The 16,357-nt window shown below is 35.3% G+C and overlaps 1 protein-coding gene across 2 annotated transcripts in view; it reads left to right on the forward strand.

Moving 5' to 3' along the window:
* SIK2 (salt inducible kinase 2) overlaps positions 1–16,357 on the forward strand; it is a 128,407-nt gene that overhangs the window by 4,378 nt on the left and 107,672 nt on the right. For both annotated transcript variants that reach the window (NM_015191.3, XM_017017417.2), the window contains exons 2-3: positions 9,417–9,533; positions 13,513–13,576. In NM_015191.3, the coding sequence (NP_056006.1) occupies positions 9,417–9,533; positions 13,513–13,576 (181 nt within the window). The remainder of the gene's footprint in view (positions 1–9,416; positions 9,534–13,512; positions 13,577–16,357) is intronic.

Below are 16,357 nucleotides of genomic sequence, written 5' to 3' on the forward strand. Positions count from 1 at the left end.
TAGGAGGCCAGGCTAGATGGCTGACACCTGTAATCCCAGCACAGTGGGAGGCCAATGCAGATGGGTTGCTTGAGGCCAGGAGTTGGAGACCAGCCTGGTCAATATAGCAAGACCCAGTCTCATTAAAAAGAAAAAAAAAAAAACTTATAAATAAATGAAAAGAATTCCCCATAAAATCACAACCCCAAAGATAACCATAACTAGTTATTTTCAGACCTTTTCTATAATAGATAACTTGAGTTTTCCTCAACACCATATACCTCTCATATTGCTTAGCTAAAGAGCATGTAAATGTATAGTCTGTGGAATCATAAAGATATTTCATAGAGGTTCTAAAAATGACCTTATTAAAATGGCATGTGGGTGTCAGGCTGCTTACTTACCCTTAAGAGAACTTGGAATGCAAAACTGATAACAAGGACATTTTGAAAACTGTATTTGTTTGCTAAAAAGCTTTCCATGTGCATTTTGGGGATTTTATAGTTAGGCCTAATTCTTTACCACCTTAAAATGTAAGATTTTTAAAAGGTTTTCAGAATTGTTAAGGTATTAAAATTGCATTTTTATAGCAAAGTCAGAAACAAGAGAAAGGCATATTACACCCTGATTATGATGTTTCTTGAAGAGAACTCATTTTAAAAATACATTTGAATTTTCTATTTTGCTTTAAAATTTTAAGACTCCTTTCAGTAGTCTTGGTATTAATCTTGTACTGTGAAATATTCCAGATTTCAAGAAGCAACTGTACTATGTGCAACAGAAGGACTTGTTACCAAATAACTCAATCGCTAATATTTGTATCTAGTCTTATGTATGATCTTTAATTTTGTATTGAAATAAAATTGTATTTGTCATGGAATATATATACTTTCATAGAATTTTTCTGTAGTTTTTGGCACCCCAGACAAATAGTATTTGTCAAAGTATTCTGCTAACTATTGTTCAAAATGATCTGCTCTTTTTTGGGAGTGGGAACAAACATGCAAAATAAGAGTTGTGTAAATGTTTATATTCTGTAGAAATTTTAACTTTAACAGAGTTTAATGTGTTCTGATTTTAAACCCTCTGGGAAATACTATCTCAGTACCAGTCAATTAAGAAAACAATTATTTGGAAATAACTGAAACTGGCCTATCTTCTTGGATTCACATGATGACATTTGATTTATGACCCACTGCTGATGGCAGATTCATTTCCTTGGAGGCAAATGGGTTCCAGAATTCATTAGGATATCGTTCTTTCCGCTTTAATGTACCTAGTACCTCTTCTACCTTCCACCTCCATCTTTTCGAAATAAATTATATAAAACTTTCTTTATTCAGAACATTGGTGTAGAATACTTTCCCATCCTTCACAGAGAAATAGCCTATATATCCATTTTGAGATATTAGAAGATCGAAAGATAAACTTGGAAATTCCATCAGAAACTTCATTTTAAAAAAATTTTTAAATACTTTAAACAGATTAAGAGATGAATATTGGATGAATTAAACTGAGAAACAATACTAAAATTTATTTTAAGTTCTTCTTGAAAGTAAACATAGTATTGATATGGTTTCCCCCAGTTATAGAAGTCAATGCATCTTCATTGTAAACATTGTTGAAAAGCCCAAAGAAGAAGATTAACATCCTTACTTCCACTCTCCAGACCCAGAGATAATGCCTGTTAATATTTGGTTCATCTTCTTCTAGTTATTCACATATATTTTATATGTATGTAATAAAATTGATGTCATGTATGCATATAATCTGTGTTTTTTACTTAACATGTTGTTAACATTTCCGTAAGTTTGAAAACTATGTAAAGCATAGTTAAATAGTATTTGTGCATTTGACTATCCATATTTTATTTAATCAATTTCCTATTACTGAACATTTAGTCTATTTCCATCTTCCTGTCTCTCTTTCTAAAATAATGTTTCAGAGGGCATCCCTCTACATACATCTTTGTGCATGTATCTAATTATTTCCTCAGTGTAATTGCCTAGCAATGGAATTCTTGGGTCAAGGAGTATGTACATTACCTATCTTACGGTGTAGGATGCCAAATTACCCTCCAGAAAAGGAGTACCCGTTAATTTTCACCAGGAAGAACTCATATTTTGCAGGAATATTATTTTCTAAATCTCTGCCAACTTGATAGCAGAAAATAATATTCTTCATTACTTTTAAATTTTTTTCTATTTTTATTTTTAATTAACAAATACATGTTTACATTTTGTTACTTCAATTTGCATTTCTTTAATTACTTTGTACAGTTTTATATGATGATGATTTGCATTCCTTTTATAAATTTTTTTGTCCTTTGACCCATTTAATTGCATTGTCTTTTTTGTTGATTTGTTTAAATACTTTTTAAGATAGGGGATTATTTTTAATCACTTCTTTAATCATCTTAAAAATTCTCAGTTTAATTTTTGTGAGTATATAACTATCGGACCATTTACCTTTTCCCCCAATCTGTTTTTCCTACCCACTATTATAAAAGTCAAATCAATTTTTTTTTTGGGGGGGGGACAGGGTCTCACTCTGTCACCCAGGCTGGAGTACAGTTGCGAGATTACACCTCACTGCAGCCTCCACCTCCCAGGCTCAAGTGATCTTCCCACTTCAGCCTTCCAAGTAGCTGGAACTACAGGTGCACACCACCATGCCTGGCTAATTTTTAAATTTTTTGTAAAGACAAGGTTTTGCCATGTTGCCCAAGCTGTTCTTGAACTCCTTGGCTCAAACAGCCCTCCCACCTTGGCCTCCCAAAGTGCTGGGATTACAGGCATAAGCCACCATACCCAGCCTTCAAATTAAATCCTAATGAGAATTTATTATTTGAATAATTTTAAAAGCCAAATTTACATTGGAAAAAAGTCTCCTTTTTATTTATTCTGAGAGGGTAACTAGAGAATTCTCTATTTTACTACTGACTTTTACTGCTTTCAGAAAGTCTTTCATTATAGACCACTCAATCACACTTGCTTTTCAATCAAATGATAGGCTAGTAGGTTGTAATTCCACCAATGATTTGTTGTATAAGCTGAAAGTTGTATTTATTTTTTAATTTCAAAGGTCTAATGTATGGTATGATAGAGCTAATGTTACTTGGTACTTCAGAAGGACAGTGTAGAATTAGTATATTAGTAATAGGACTGGAGTAAATATTATCTAAGACAAGAAACACATGTTAATCCCTTGTAATTTGTTATTAGAAGAATAGCTCTTATTTGTAACTTCTTTATAAAATCTCCAAAAGCTACTTTTTTTGGCTTTAATCTGTGGATTTATAGAACCCAAAAGCAACTTTTGTATATGTGGTTTCTTTAAATGAGATTAGTATTTCTTTTATGAGAAGTTAATTTGTTTTTCTAAAATCAAAGAGACAGGATAGGCCAGGCATGGTAGCTCACGCCTGTAATCCCAGCACTTTGGGGGGCCGAGGCGGGTGGATTGCTTGAGGTGACGAGTTTGAGACCAGCCTGGCCAACATGGTGAAACCCCATCTCTACTAAAAATACAGAAATTAGCCTGGCGTGGTGGTGCATGCCTGTAATCCCAGCTACTTGGGAGGCTGAGGCAGGAGAATCACTTTGAACCCTGGAGGCAGAGGTTGCACTGAGCTGAGATCGCACCACTGCACTCCAGCAGTGACAGAGCAAGACTCTGTCTAAAAAAAAAAAAAAAAAGATAACAAACAGTTTGAAAAATGAAAAAATTCCATTTATTCATCAGTTTAACACTTTTTACATTTCTGCTCTTACATTTAATTCTTTGTCCTCCTGTATAAAATTTGTATTTTACATAGTTGTTACTTTCATAGTGTTTTTTAAAATTTCACATTGTTAGAAACATTTCTGTATATATGGTCTTCTTAATATTTAAATCATAAAATAATATAGCCATTTTCTAAAGAATTTTGAAAATGAGAAAATGAAAACTAATATATCTCAGAGAATTAGTATATGATAAATAACTGTCATTGTTCTGGGTTTTTTCTTATTAGAAAAATAATACATGTTCACTGAAGAAAAATTGCACAGAAAAGTACAAAGCAGTTTTTTGTCATCTTTTTCTACTCATACCTTATGCTGAGACTGCACTGATATCTCAGTTTTCTAATACTCTATTGATTATATGTACACATAAGGCTGGGTGAGGTGGCTCACACCAGTAATCCCATACTTTTTGGAGGCCAAGGCAAGAGGATTACTTGAGCCTAGGAGTTTGAGACCAGCCTGGGCAACATGGTGAAACCCACTCTCGACCAAATGTGTGTGTGTGTGTGTGTGTGTGTGTGTGTGCACACCTGTAGTCCCAGCTTCTTGGGAGGCTGAGGTGGGAGGATCATTTGAGCCTGGGAGGCAGAGGTTGCAGTGAGCTGAGATCGCGCCAGTGCACTCCAGCCCAGGCAACAGAGTGAGACCCTGTCTCAAAAAAAAAAAAAACTACACATAAATCTTTGTCCTCATTTCAGATTATTTCCTTCAAATAACTTCTCAGAAGAGTCCTTAAGCTACATGGAATGGATGATTTTTAAGGTTCATAATAAAGACTACTAAATTGCTTCCCAGAAAAATTATAATCTATTTTATATTCCTACTAACTATCTGAAACAAACATCTCACTGAACTTTAGCTGACCAGGTTATTTATTTTTTAATCTTTATAAATATAATAAGTGAAAATGGTATTTTGTTTTTAATTCATATTTCCCTGAGTATTTTGAAGTTGAATATTCAATGTTGCTACTTTATGTGGGATTTAGTTTGATAGTAATCATTCTAGTTTGTCCTAATGTTCTTCAGTTTATACAGGAAACCTTTATTCAGTCCTTTAGTAGAAGGAGTATTCATTTTTCTGTCATATAAATTTATTGAAAGTTTTTTTAAGATAATGTATATATAATGATTAGAGAGTTGAATAGATGAACACCACCAAAAAAGGGGATCTTTCCATTCGTGGAGTTCCTTTCTTGACCTACTTTCTTGTTACCATGCAGATTTTGTCTCTTATACTATGTTGAGAACTAAATAAGAGAAGGGATATAGAGAGGAAGTTCCCAGAAATCTAAGTTCATTCTAATCCTTAAAAGGAACTATTGGAACACAACCCTTTTGCAAATTAAGGACTTTCAGTGCACCTTTGGGGAAATCCCCAAATACTTTTTTTTTTGTTGGTAAAATGTGTTCATCTTCTTCTTACATACCTATTAAATTGTTGAGGGTAGGAATCAAATCTCATTCATTTTTATATCCCAGGCATAATTCCTGGCACACAACAGATGCTGTGTAATGTATTACTACAAGACCCTTTGAAATAGTGAAAAGATTAAAGTTGGAGTTAGAAGGCCTAGGGTTTTTCTTCCTTAATTCATTAGAGCTTTAAGACCTTTGTTGATTATGTGACATTATTTGAACCTCAGTTTCAACTCATGAGTGTACTGCTTGTTTCATTTACTTCACAGAATTGGGAAATAAATGAGATAAAATATGCTGAAGTATCTTTAAAAATGCTGTGCAGTTGTGAAAGTCATCACCATTGTTAGTATTATACATATTTCTGGGAAGTACTTGATAGAGAGCTCCATTGTTAAGAAATTACTTGGATGAGTTTGGCAGACTGCTAGCTGATCATTGAAAACTCTGCTGTTTCCTCTTCTTTCTGGGCCTACAGCTGGACTGTTTCTATGCCACCCTTGCATTTAGGTGTGGTCATATGCGGAGTTCTAACTAATGGAATGAACAGAAGTAATAGGCACCACTTCCAGCCCTGGCCCATAAAATCACCCATGAAGATCCCTCAGAGTTCTTTTTTCCTTCTGTCTAGCTGGAATGGAGACCGCCTTCAGGTTAACCTTGGAAGCCACACATTAAAGATATTAAAGCCTCTTTGAATTTCAAAAGTCTGCATTCATCTAGTTCTGCTACGTGAGCAAGAAATAAACTTCTGTTGAGTTTGAATCATAAGTTTTGGGGTGTATTTGGTAAAGCAGTTAGAGTTCCCATGTTACAAGGAACATGTTAACTCATGCTCTGCTTTTTCTTTAGAGAAGCATAATCCTCTCCTGTAATAGCCTTAGAAACAAGGGATAGCAATGGGATATATATATATATATATATATATATATATATTTATGATCATAGGATCATAGATGGATAAAGTCTGTGACCCAAGATAAAATTGAAGGGAGAATTATATCATTTGAGTTATTTTGTTAAGAAATGTTAAATGAGATTTATAATTTTTATTAAAATTTAATTAGATAACATTTTAAACTTTTTAATATATGTCATATATTTTTCACTTTTTCATTGTTGAGGCCAACATTCCAAAAGGGTATAAAAAAGGAGCTTTCTCTGGGTAATACCTTGCTTTAATTGATATTTAATATCTAAACTCTTTCATCCCATTAAATATGACACTCAAGATATTTACATTATAAAATTGTCTCATGATAGGAATCATGCTGGGTTTTTAAAAACCATAATCCCTTCTTTCCATCTTCTTCTATTAGATGGTTGTGACCCATCTCATTATAAAAGCTTTTTCCTGGGGGCAGGGGGTGCTGATATATAGACTCACTCCTGAAATTGTAGGGTAAGACATTTTCTTCAAAATATGCATGTCCGTGAAACTTGATGTGATCTTCCTAAGGAATATTGAGGATATTCAATTATACACTTATCCTTTTATCTGGCAGCTGTTACCCAAAGTTACCCAAAATAATGGATAATAATGGATTGTATCATACTCTTCATTGAGGGGGGTTTCTTTAAATGTATTTAGGTTTGAGGTGGTCCAATAATATTTCTAATAGCGAGTATATAATATTAATCGTTCTACTTGCCTAGCAGTCAAAGTTTTACTTTCTAGAATATTTTCATTACGGTAATAATTAAAACACCACCAAACATAATGAAAAGAGCTATCACAGAACCTATGTACTTTACTCCCTAGAAAAGAAGCTTTTATTCTTAGGCGATAAATTTAATTTTATACATTATGTTTAGTAATCGGATTTCCCCTGGGAAGCTTGCAGAGTTCTACAATTAATTCAAATCAGGAAACAACCTGTGGACAGCAAGTTAGAAATAGAGAAAGGTGAGAAGTAAAACTTACAGTAGAGCTTTAGGACATAACAGCAAAGGATAGAGCAGCCATAAAGAAAGAAGAAAAACATTACATTTGACCCTTGAACAAGGCAGAGGTTAGGGGAACTGACCCCCCTCGGGGGTCAGTTGAAAGTATAACTTTTTGACTCTCCCCCCATTTTTTTTTTTTTTTTGACAGAGTCTCGCTCTGTCGCCCAGACTGGAGCGCAGTGGCACGATCTTGGCTCATTGCAACCTCTGCCTCCCAGGTTCAAGCGATTCTCCTGCCTCAGTCTCCCAGGTCAACCTGGGATTACAGGCACCCACCACCATGCCTAGCTAATTTTTATGTTTTTAGTAGAGACAGCGTTTCACCATGTTGGCCAGGCTGGTCTGAAACTCCTGACCTCAAATGATCAGCCTGCCTCGGCCTTCCAAAGTGTTGGGATTACAGGCATGAGCCACAGCGCCCAGCCTGACTCCCCCAAAATTTAACTAATAGCCTACTGTTCACTGGAAGCCTTACCAATAACAGAAACAGTCCATTAACACATATTTTGTATGTTACATGCATTATATACTTTATTCTTATAATAAAGTAAACTAGGGAAAAGAAAATGTTAAGAAAATAACAAGGAAAATACATTTATTACTCATTAAGTGAAGTGGATCATAAAGGTCTCCATCCTCATTATCTTCACATTGAGTGGGCTGAGGAGGAGGAGAAAGAAGAGAAGTTGGTCTTGCTGTCTTAGTGGTGGAAGAAAATTTGTGTATCAGTGAACCCACACAGTTAAATCCCATGTTGTTCAGGGTTAACTGTAATTGTATGAACAGGAGACTGTGGGAATTATGTGAAATGGCAAGCTGAGTCCTATTTTATTGGATAGCTTTTGGAAGCATTGAGCTGTCATAGCATGTGCAATTGCTGATATTAAAAGTTATCCTCGGCTGGGCACAGTGGCTCACGCCTGAAATCCCAGCACTTTGGGAGGTCGAGGTGGGCGGATCACCTGAAGTGAGGAGTTCAAGACCAGCCTGGCCAACGTGGTGAAACCCCATCTCTACCAAAAATACAAAAATTAGCCAGACGTGGTGGCACACACCTGTAATCCCAGCTACTTGGGAAGCTGAGGCAGGAGAATCACTTGAACCCAGGAGGCGGAGGTTGCAGTGAGCCAAGATCGTGCCACTGCACTGTAGCCTAGGCCACAGAGGGAGACTCTGTATCAAATAAATAAATAAATAAAAGTTTTCCTGAGGCCAGGCATGGTGGCTCACACCTGTAATCCCAGCACTTTGGGAGGCTGAAAAGGGAGGATTGCTTGAGGCCAGGAATTCAAGGCCAGCCTGGTCAACATAATGAGACCCCATCTGCATTAAAAAAAAAAAAAAAAGAAGAAAAGTTACCCTGAAACAATAACATAAGGCTAAATTATGTTTAGAATACCCTTTGATATAACTTGAAGTACATTTTAGAGTTTTTTCAAAACTGATAATTAAATTGGGGTGATTCCCAATTATCTGAAAAATTTATTTAAATCAGAATGCTTTATTTTCCAACCAAATATCTACTAATTTTAATAAATTAGTTCTTTTTAATTGCATGAAAAAAATGTGTGTAATCATTGATTTCTGCCTACCTAGTCATTCACCTTCATATGTAATCCCTTCAAATTATTAACCTTGGAATTGTTTGGGCTCCTCTCTAGTTATAACAGAATGAAGTCACAGTTTCTGAAATAAAATTCCTTTTACAAAGTTAAATTTTAGTGCAGTTACTAACATTTTAGTTTTTGCACTTCAATTTTTAAAAGAAAGTCCAATTGTATTTTCTCATGTAATGAGTTTTAATATTTTATATTCAGCTTTTTGTCTGTATTCTTTGAAACTTATCACTTGCTTTTCTAGGAAAATAGTATTTCAGTGCAACAGAAGCTATCTTCCGAACTGTCTTCTACTTTGCTGATCATTTGTTTATAGGTACTTCACAGCAGGATAACTAGTTGATATAGCTACTAATTTAATCAAATAAAGATTTTATTTTTTCAGTTTGTACAGGAGAAAAAAGACATTACCATTGTACTGAAAGAGAAACATGTTTTCAAATTATTCTTCATAGCACACTAAAGACACTGCCAAACAACATCTACTGCCTTACACATGGTATTAGTTTAAGAAATATTTGTTGAATGAATGAACATTGAATTTAAACTGCTATCATCAGTGTCAGGAACCTACAGGTGAAGTCTCATGTCATTTATTGACAGGATTCTTAACTAGAAAATGTTAACTATTGTATACTAATTGTATTTATTTGTGTTCTGGGATGCAGGTGGCAATAAAAATAATCGATAAGTCTCAGCTGGATGCAGTGAACCTTGAGAAAATCTACCGAGAAGTACAAATAATGAAAATGTTAGACCACCCTCACATAATCAAACTTTATCAGGTATGACTCAGCCTAACACTATCTCCATTCATTCCACAAGATAGTTCTCTATTTCGTATCATGATTTTTCTTCTTATATTTGTTTTTCTAATCAATGAAAGAAAATAAATGTATGCTATTTGTTACTAAGTACACCATTTTTCTATATTGTCTTTAAACTTAAAAATCAGAAATCTTAAGTCATCTCTCAGACTGCAAGTTGTTTTAAAAGTTTGCAGTGTGGGCTCACACTTGTAATCCCAACAGTTTGGGAGGCTGAGCAGGGAAGATTACTTGAGTCCAGCCTGGGCAACATGGTGAAACCCCATCTCTACCAAAAAATATATATATACAAATATTAGCCTGGTGTGGTGGTGCACATCTGTAGTCCCAGCTACTTGGGAGGTTGAGGCAGGAGGATTGCTTGAGGTTGCAGTGAGCTATATCATACCACTACACTTTAGCCTGGGTGACAAAGTGAGACACTGTCTCTTAAAAAAAAAAAGAAGTTTACAATGTATGATACGCTGCTTTTTAACTGCAGAGTTTTGGTGCTACTGCCTAATAAGGATGTGGCAGTTTTGCTCATTTAAAAAGGATACTGTATGTTTTATGAAAATACAACCACTAAACTAGTATATTATTCAGTGACATACTTTGTCATACATAGGACTGTATTTATTTAATTATTTGGCTTATTTTAGTAGATAAAATAAATTTGCTTTTTTTAAAAAATCAACTTTGTTATAATAATTTTTGTAAAATAAATTGAACTCATTTTAAGTGTAAGCCATGGGGTTTTTTGTCATTGTTTTTCATTGTTTTTTATAGCTTTAGGGGGTACAGGTGCAATTTTGTTACCTGGCTATATTGCATAGTGGTGAAGTCTGGGCTTTTAGTGCACCCACCAACCAGCCATGGTTTTTAAAAGGAGTGTTTTTCTCAAATTTTTAACGAGTAATTCATGTTTAAGAAGGATAATATAGTACAAAATATTGAAAACAATTATTTCTTAACATGTAGAATTTTTCTGTTGAAAAGCTCTTTTTAAACTGAAATGTTCCATTATCCTGGCCCATGACTTTGATCTCCAGAGTGTGATGTGTATGCCCATGGTATGCTGGACTCCGCCTGTACCGGCTCGTTGAGAGCTGGTTGTTAAACTTTCAGAAGCTTTGCAAGCCAATTAACATGATGTTAGTAGCTCAAAATCTGCATTGGTAGGAAGATTTACATCACAGAAACTGGCTTACAAATCAGGACCTTTTTATTTTTTGTCAGAAAGCTGGTTTACTGGCACACCAGTATGTGCATTCAAATAGATTAGCACAAATGTGCTTGGGAGTATAAGAAGAAAATATCAGAACCTCTAGTTATGTTTATTTTTTATATTTGTTTTGTTGTGTATATTTTATAATGTACATAATATTTATACAATGGCACATGTATGCAATGTGTGTTTATATATACGTCACCATATGTGCCATGTGTGTTTGTGTATGTGTGTGTGTGTATATATATATACACACACACACACACACATATATTTGGCAACTTTATTTTTAATGGATTCCCATAGGAATCATGTTTATTGTATTTTATTTTTTTTAGAGAGAGGGTCTCACTGTTGTTGCCCAGACTGGCCTTGAACTCCTGGGCTCAAAGGATCCTCCCGCTTCAGCTAGGACTACAAGTGCATGACAGTGTGTTTGGCTCTAAACCAGTGGTGCCCAACTTTTTTGGCACCAGGGACCAGTTTCGTGGAAGGCAATTATTCTACCTCAGCATTAGATTCTCATAAGGAGTGTGAATCCTAGATCCCTCACATGTACAGTTCACAATAGGGTTCCTACTCCTATGAGAATTTAATGCCACTGCTGATCTGATGGGAGGTGGAGCTCAGGTGGTAATGGGAGCAATGGGGAGCCGCTGTAAATACAGATGAAGCTTCACTGTGTGGCCCGTTTCCTAACAGGCCACGGACTGCACCAGTCTGTGACCCGGCGGTTAGGAACCCCTGCTTTAAACAACTTTTATTGATAGAGATTTTCAATGTAAAAAATGTGAAGACCATTGGCTTATGATATGCCTCCTGAGAATGAGAGACTATGATGTGTCACTCAAAGCATTTCCTAAAAATACTAAAACTACAGAGGCCTCTTAGATCAAATTTATATCAGATTAGCCCAGTGCAGTGACATGTAGTCCCAGCTACTGGGGAGGCTGAAGCAGGAGGGTCTCTTGAGCCAAGGAGTTCCAGGCTGTAGTACACCTTAATTGCACCTGTGAATAGCCACTGTACTTTAGCCTGGATAACACAGAGATCCCATCTCTAAAAATAAATAATTAATTAATTAATTCAGATTACTTCTCCCTTTAAACTTAAAAAAAATTATTAATTTTTTTTTAAAAGAAAACGTCTTGCTCTGTCACCCAGCGTGGGGTGCAGTGGCACAATCATAGCTCACTGCAGCTTCAAACTCATGGACTCAAGTGATCTTCCTGCCTCAACCCCTCCCCAAGTAGCTGGGACTACAAGCACATGCCACTATACCTGGCTCATTTTTTAATATTTTTTGCAGAGACAGGATCTCACTATGTTGCCCAGGCTGTTCTCAAACTTCTGGGCTCAAGTGAGCCTCCCACGTTGGCCTCTCAAAGTGCTGGGATTACAGGAATGAGCCACCCATGCCTAGCCATTGTTTTTTTAATTCCTGAAGAAGATACTTCTAAGAAACTAATTATATTCTTCAAAGTCTCTGATTAACCATAAACTAGACCGAGGATAAAACTAACATAATTTGCATATTAATTCTATCTATTTGAGGTAAATAATTGGTTACAGTTGATTTACTGATTTGTTTAGGCCCAAACTGTAGGTAGCTTTTAGTTTTCTGACCTCGTGGAGAATAGTCTTAAACCTACATCTTAGAACAAAATTAATTTTCTTCCTTTCAGTAGATAGCAGTTAAGAGTATTACAGATAAACACTCTAAAAATTGTTCATCTTGAATCTAAACACTCATTTTCTTTTTATTCTATTTGTATTTATTTTTATATATTTATTTTTTTTGAGACATAGTTTTCATCTGTCGCCCAGATACAAGCAGCTCTCCCACCTCAGCCTCCCAAGTAGCTGGGATCACAGGTGCACACCACCACACCTGGCTAATTTTTGTATTTTTTGGTAGAGACGGGGTTTTGCCATGTTGGCCAGGCTGGTGTCGAACTCCTGACCTCAAGTGATCTGCCCACCTTGACCTCCCAAAGAGCTGGGATTACAGGTGTGAGCCACCACACCCAGCCTCATTTTCTTTTTAAATAGACTTCTATTTAGTGTAGTTTGAAAAATCAGATGTATGACGATGACACACTTCATTCCGAATCTAGAAAAATGCATTTAAATAAAAGTATTTTACAGTAGAGCTATGAATATGAAACTTTTAAACAATTAGAGTACTTTGTAACAATATTAAAGTATAGTACAAGGAATATCACATTGTGCCAGATTAGCTAGGCTACCAACCAGGTAAACTAAAGTACTCTATTTTTTTATTCTTTTAATCGGAATCTACCATGATAACATAGGACTAGAAACGTCAGTGAGGAGATGTTGAAAAGTAGATCTTCAAAACTTATATTATCTATACTAGTACTTCTCAAACTTTAATGTACATAAAAATCACTTGGCAGTTTTGTTAAAATGTAAATTCCAATTCAGTATGTCTGGGATGGGGCCTGGAATTCTGCATTTCTTACAGGTGGTTGAATAGTGCTACTACTGCTGGTCCAAGGACCACACTTAGAAGAGCAAGGATCTCAATTTTTCACAAACACATTAATCAGAAGGATATTGTCAGGCTTATGAACTTAGCCATCTTCGGAATTGTTCATAACTGTGATTCTTTTATTAGTAGTTTCAATTTAGGTAACTCGATAGAATATTGTGGAAAATTCCAGTACATTTCTGTCAGACTAATATGGAATTATTTATCAATAGGTAATGGAGACCAAAAGTATGTTGTACCTTGTGACAGAATATGCCAAAAATGGAGAAATTTTTGGTAAGCTTTTTCCTTTAAATTTTCTATTAATTTGAAAAATTCACTAATCTGCATGAATGGGGTATTTTCTGTTAATTTTCTGCTTATTTAAGTGTTGGTAATATAAGTGAAAAAAAATTAAGTGTTAGAAAATATTCAGTAACCTAAAATATGAAATATAACTTATTTCCTTGTATTTATTATATTAAAGGTACTACTTCTGTCATCTCTATTAGAGACTGGAGAATCAAACATATGGAGGAACTTTTAGTCATATTGCAAAGGATATTTTCTTTCTTTTTATCTTCCTTTTTACCTTTCTTTTCTATGGAAAGATTAGTCAGCAAATATTTATTAAGCTTCTACTATGTCCCAGGCATTGTACTAGGTAATGGGGATACTCTAGTGACCTAAATAGCACAATCTCTGTTATTGTGGATCTTACAGTTTAGTAAAGTATTCACTATAGGGGTAAGACCTCAGGCAAATCACTAAACCTCTCTGGGACTTGATTCCTTTATCTCTAGTAAGAAAGTATTTGATTGGTGTTTATGATTCATTCGAACTTTAAAAAAAATTTAAATATTTTATTCTAGCTTTCACCTAAAATATCTGTTTATTTTTACTGTGTGGAACCAGAGCACTGTAGGTATCTAAATCTTTTTTGTTCTTAAAGTCCAAAATTGTTTTTTAAGCAGCTTTATTGAAGAATAATTCATATGTAGTAAATTACACGTATTTAATGCGTACAATTTAATGTTTTGATACACGTTTGTGAAACAGTCACCACAGTCAAAATATCCATCACTTCCAGAAGTTTCTTTGTGCCCTCTTTGTAACTCTTTTGCCCCATCTGACACCCAAAAAACCACTGACCTGTTTTTTGTCATTATGGATCAGTTTGTATCTTTTGGAGTTTTATATAAATGGAATTATACAGGATATACTCAAATGTAATCATACAGGATATATTCTTTTTTTGGTCTAGCTTCTTTCCTTTACTATAATTATTTTGGGATTCATCCCATTTTATTGTATATATCAACATATAATTTCTTTTTATTGCAAGTAGTATTATATTATATGAATATACCCCAGTTTGCTTATTCATTCATCTATCTATTGATAGACATTTGGGTTGGTTTCAGTTTTTGGCTATTATACATAAGTTACTATGTACATTCGTATACAAGTCTACACAGTCTACCTTCAGGTAATACTTACCACTTCGCATATAATATAAGAACCTTGGCTGGGCACAGTGGCTCACACCTGTAATCCCAGCACTTTTAGGAGGTCAAGGTGGGTGGATCACCTGAGGTCAGGAGTTCAAGACCAGCCTGGCCAACATGGTGAAACCCCTCCCTACTAAAAATACAAAAATTAGCTAGGTGTGGTAGTGCATGCCTGTAATCCCAGCTACTAGGCAGGCTGAGGCAGGAGAGTCACTTGAACTCGGAGGCGGAGGCTGCAGTGAGCCACGACCGCACCACTGTACTTTAGCCTGGGCAACAGAGTGAGATTTCATCTCAATTAAAAAAAAAAAACCTTACATCAGTGTACTTCTCTTTTGCCCCTCCTGGCCTTTATGTTCTTGTTGTCATATTTTACTTAAACGTATTTTATAAAACATAATACAGTGCTATTTTTCTTTAAACAATTATCTTTTAAAGAGATTTCCACATTTTTTGAAAATTATCTATCAGTGTAGCTACCTTTTTCTTTAAACAATTATCTTTTCAAGAGATTTCCATATTTTTTGAAAATTGCATCTATTTATCAATGCAGCTACCATTTCTGCATTCATATGTATGTATATATTTTTATCTAATGTCATTTTTCTTTTGTCTGAAGGATTTTCTTTTCTTTTTTTTTTTTTTTTTTTTTTTTTTGAGGCAGAGTCTTGCTCTGTCGCCCAGGCTGGAGTGCAGTGGCACGATCTCAGCTCACTGCAAGCTCCGCCTCCCAGGTTCACGCCATTCTCCTGCCTCAGCCTCCCAAATAACTGGTCCTACAGGCACCCACCACCACACCCGGCTAATTTTTTGTATTTTAGTAGAGACGGGGTTTCACCGTGTTAGCCAGGATGGTCTCGATCACCTGACATCGTGATCCGCCCGCCTCAGCCTCCCAAAGTGCTGGGATTACAGGCGTGAGCCACCGCACCCGGCGTCTGAAGGATTTTCTTTAGTGTTTCTTGTAGCACAGATCTGCTGGTGATGAAATATTTCAGCTTTTATATGTCTAAAGTAGTCTTTATTTTTGTCTTTGTTTTTGAAAGATATTTGTACTAGGTATAGAATTCTAAATGGACTTTTTTTCTTTCAGTACTTTAAATATGTTGCTTCACTGTCTTCCCATTTGCACTGTTTCTGACAAAAAAACCACTGTTATCTTTTTCTTTATTCCTGTGTATATAATGTGCCTTTTTTCTCTGGCTGCTTTTAAGGCTTTCTATTTACCACTGGTTTCAACAATTTCATTATGATGAGCCTTTGTGTGGTTTTCTTCATGATTCTTATGTTTGGTGTTCATTGAGCTTTTTGGATCTGTGACTATACTCTTTTCATCAAATTTGGATATTTTTCAGCCATTATTTTCTAACTAATTTTTCTCTTCCACCCCCTCTCTTCTCCTTCAGATATTCCAGTCAAATGTATATTAAACTGTTTGAAATTGCCCCACAGCTCACTGATGCTCTTTTCCATTTTTAAAAAATTCCTTTTTTTCTATTTCATGTTGAGTAGTTGCTATTTCTGTCTTTAAATTCACGAATCTTTTCTTCTGCCATTAATCCCATCC

The sequence above is a fragment of the Homo sapiens genome, chromosome 11 (assembly GCF_000001405.40).
Source record: "Homo sapiens chromosome 11, GRCh38.p14 Primary Assembly".
NCBI lineage: Eukaryota > Metazoa > Chordata > Mammalia > Primates > Hominidae > Homo > Homo sapiens.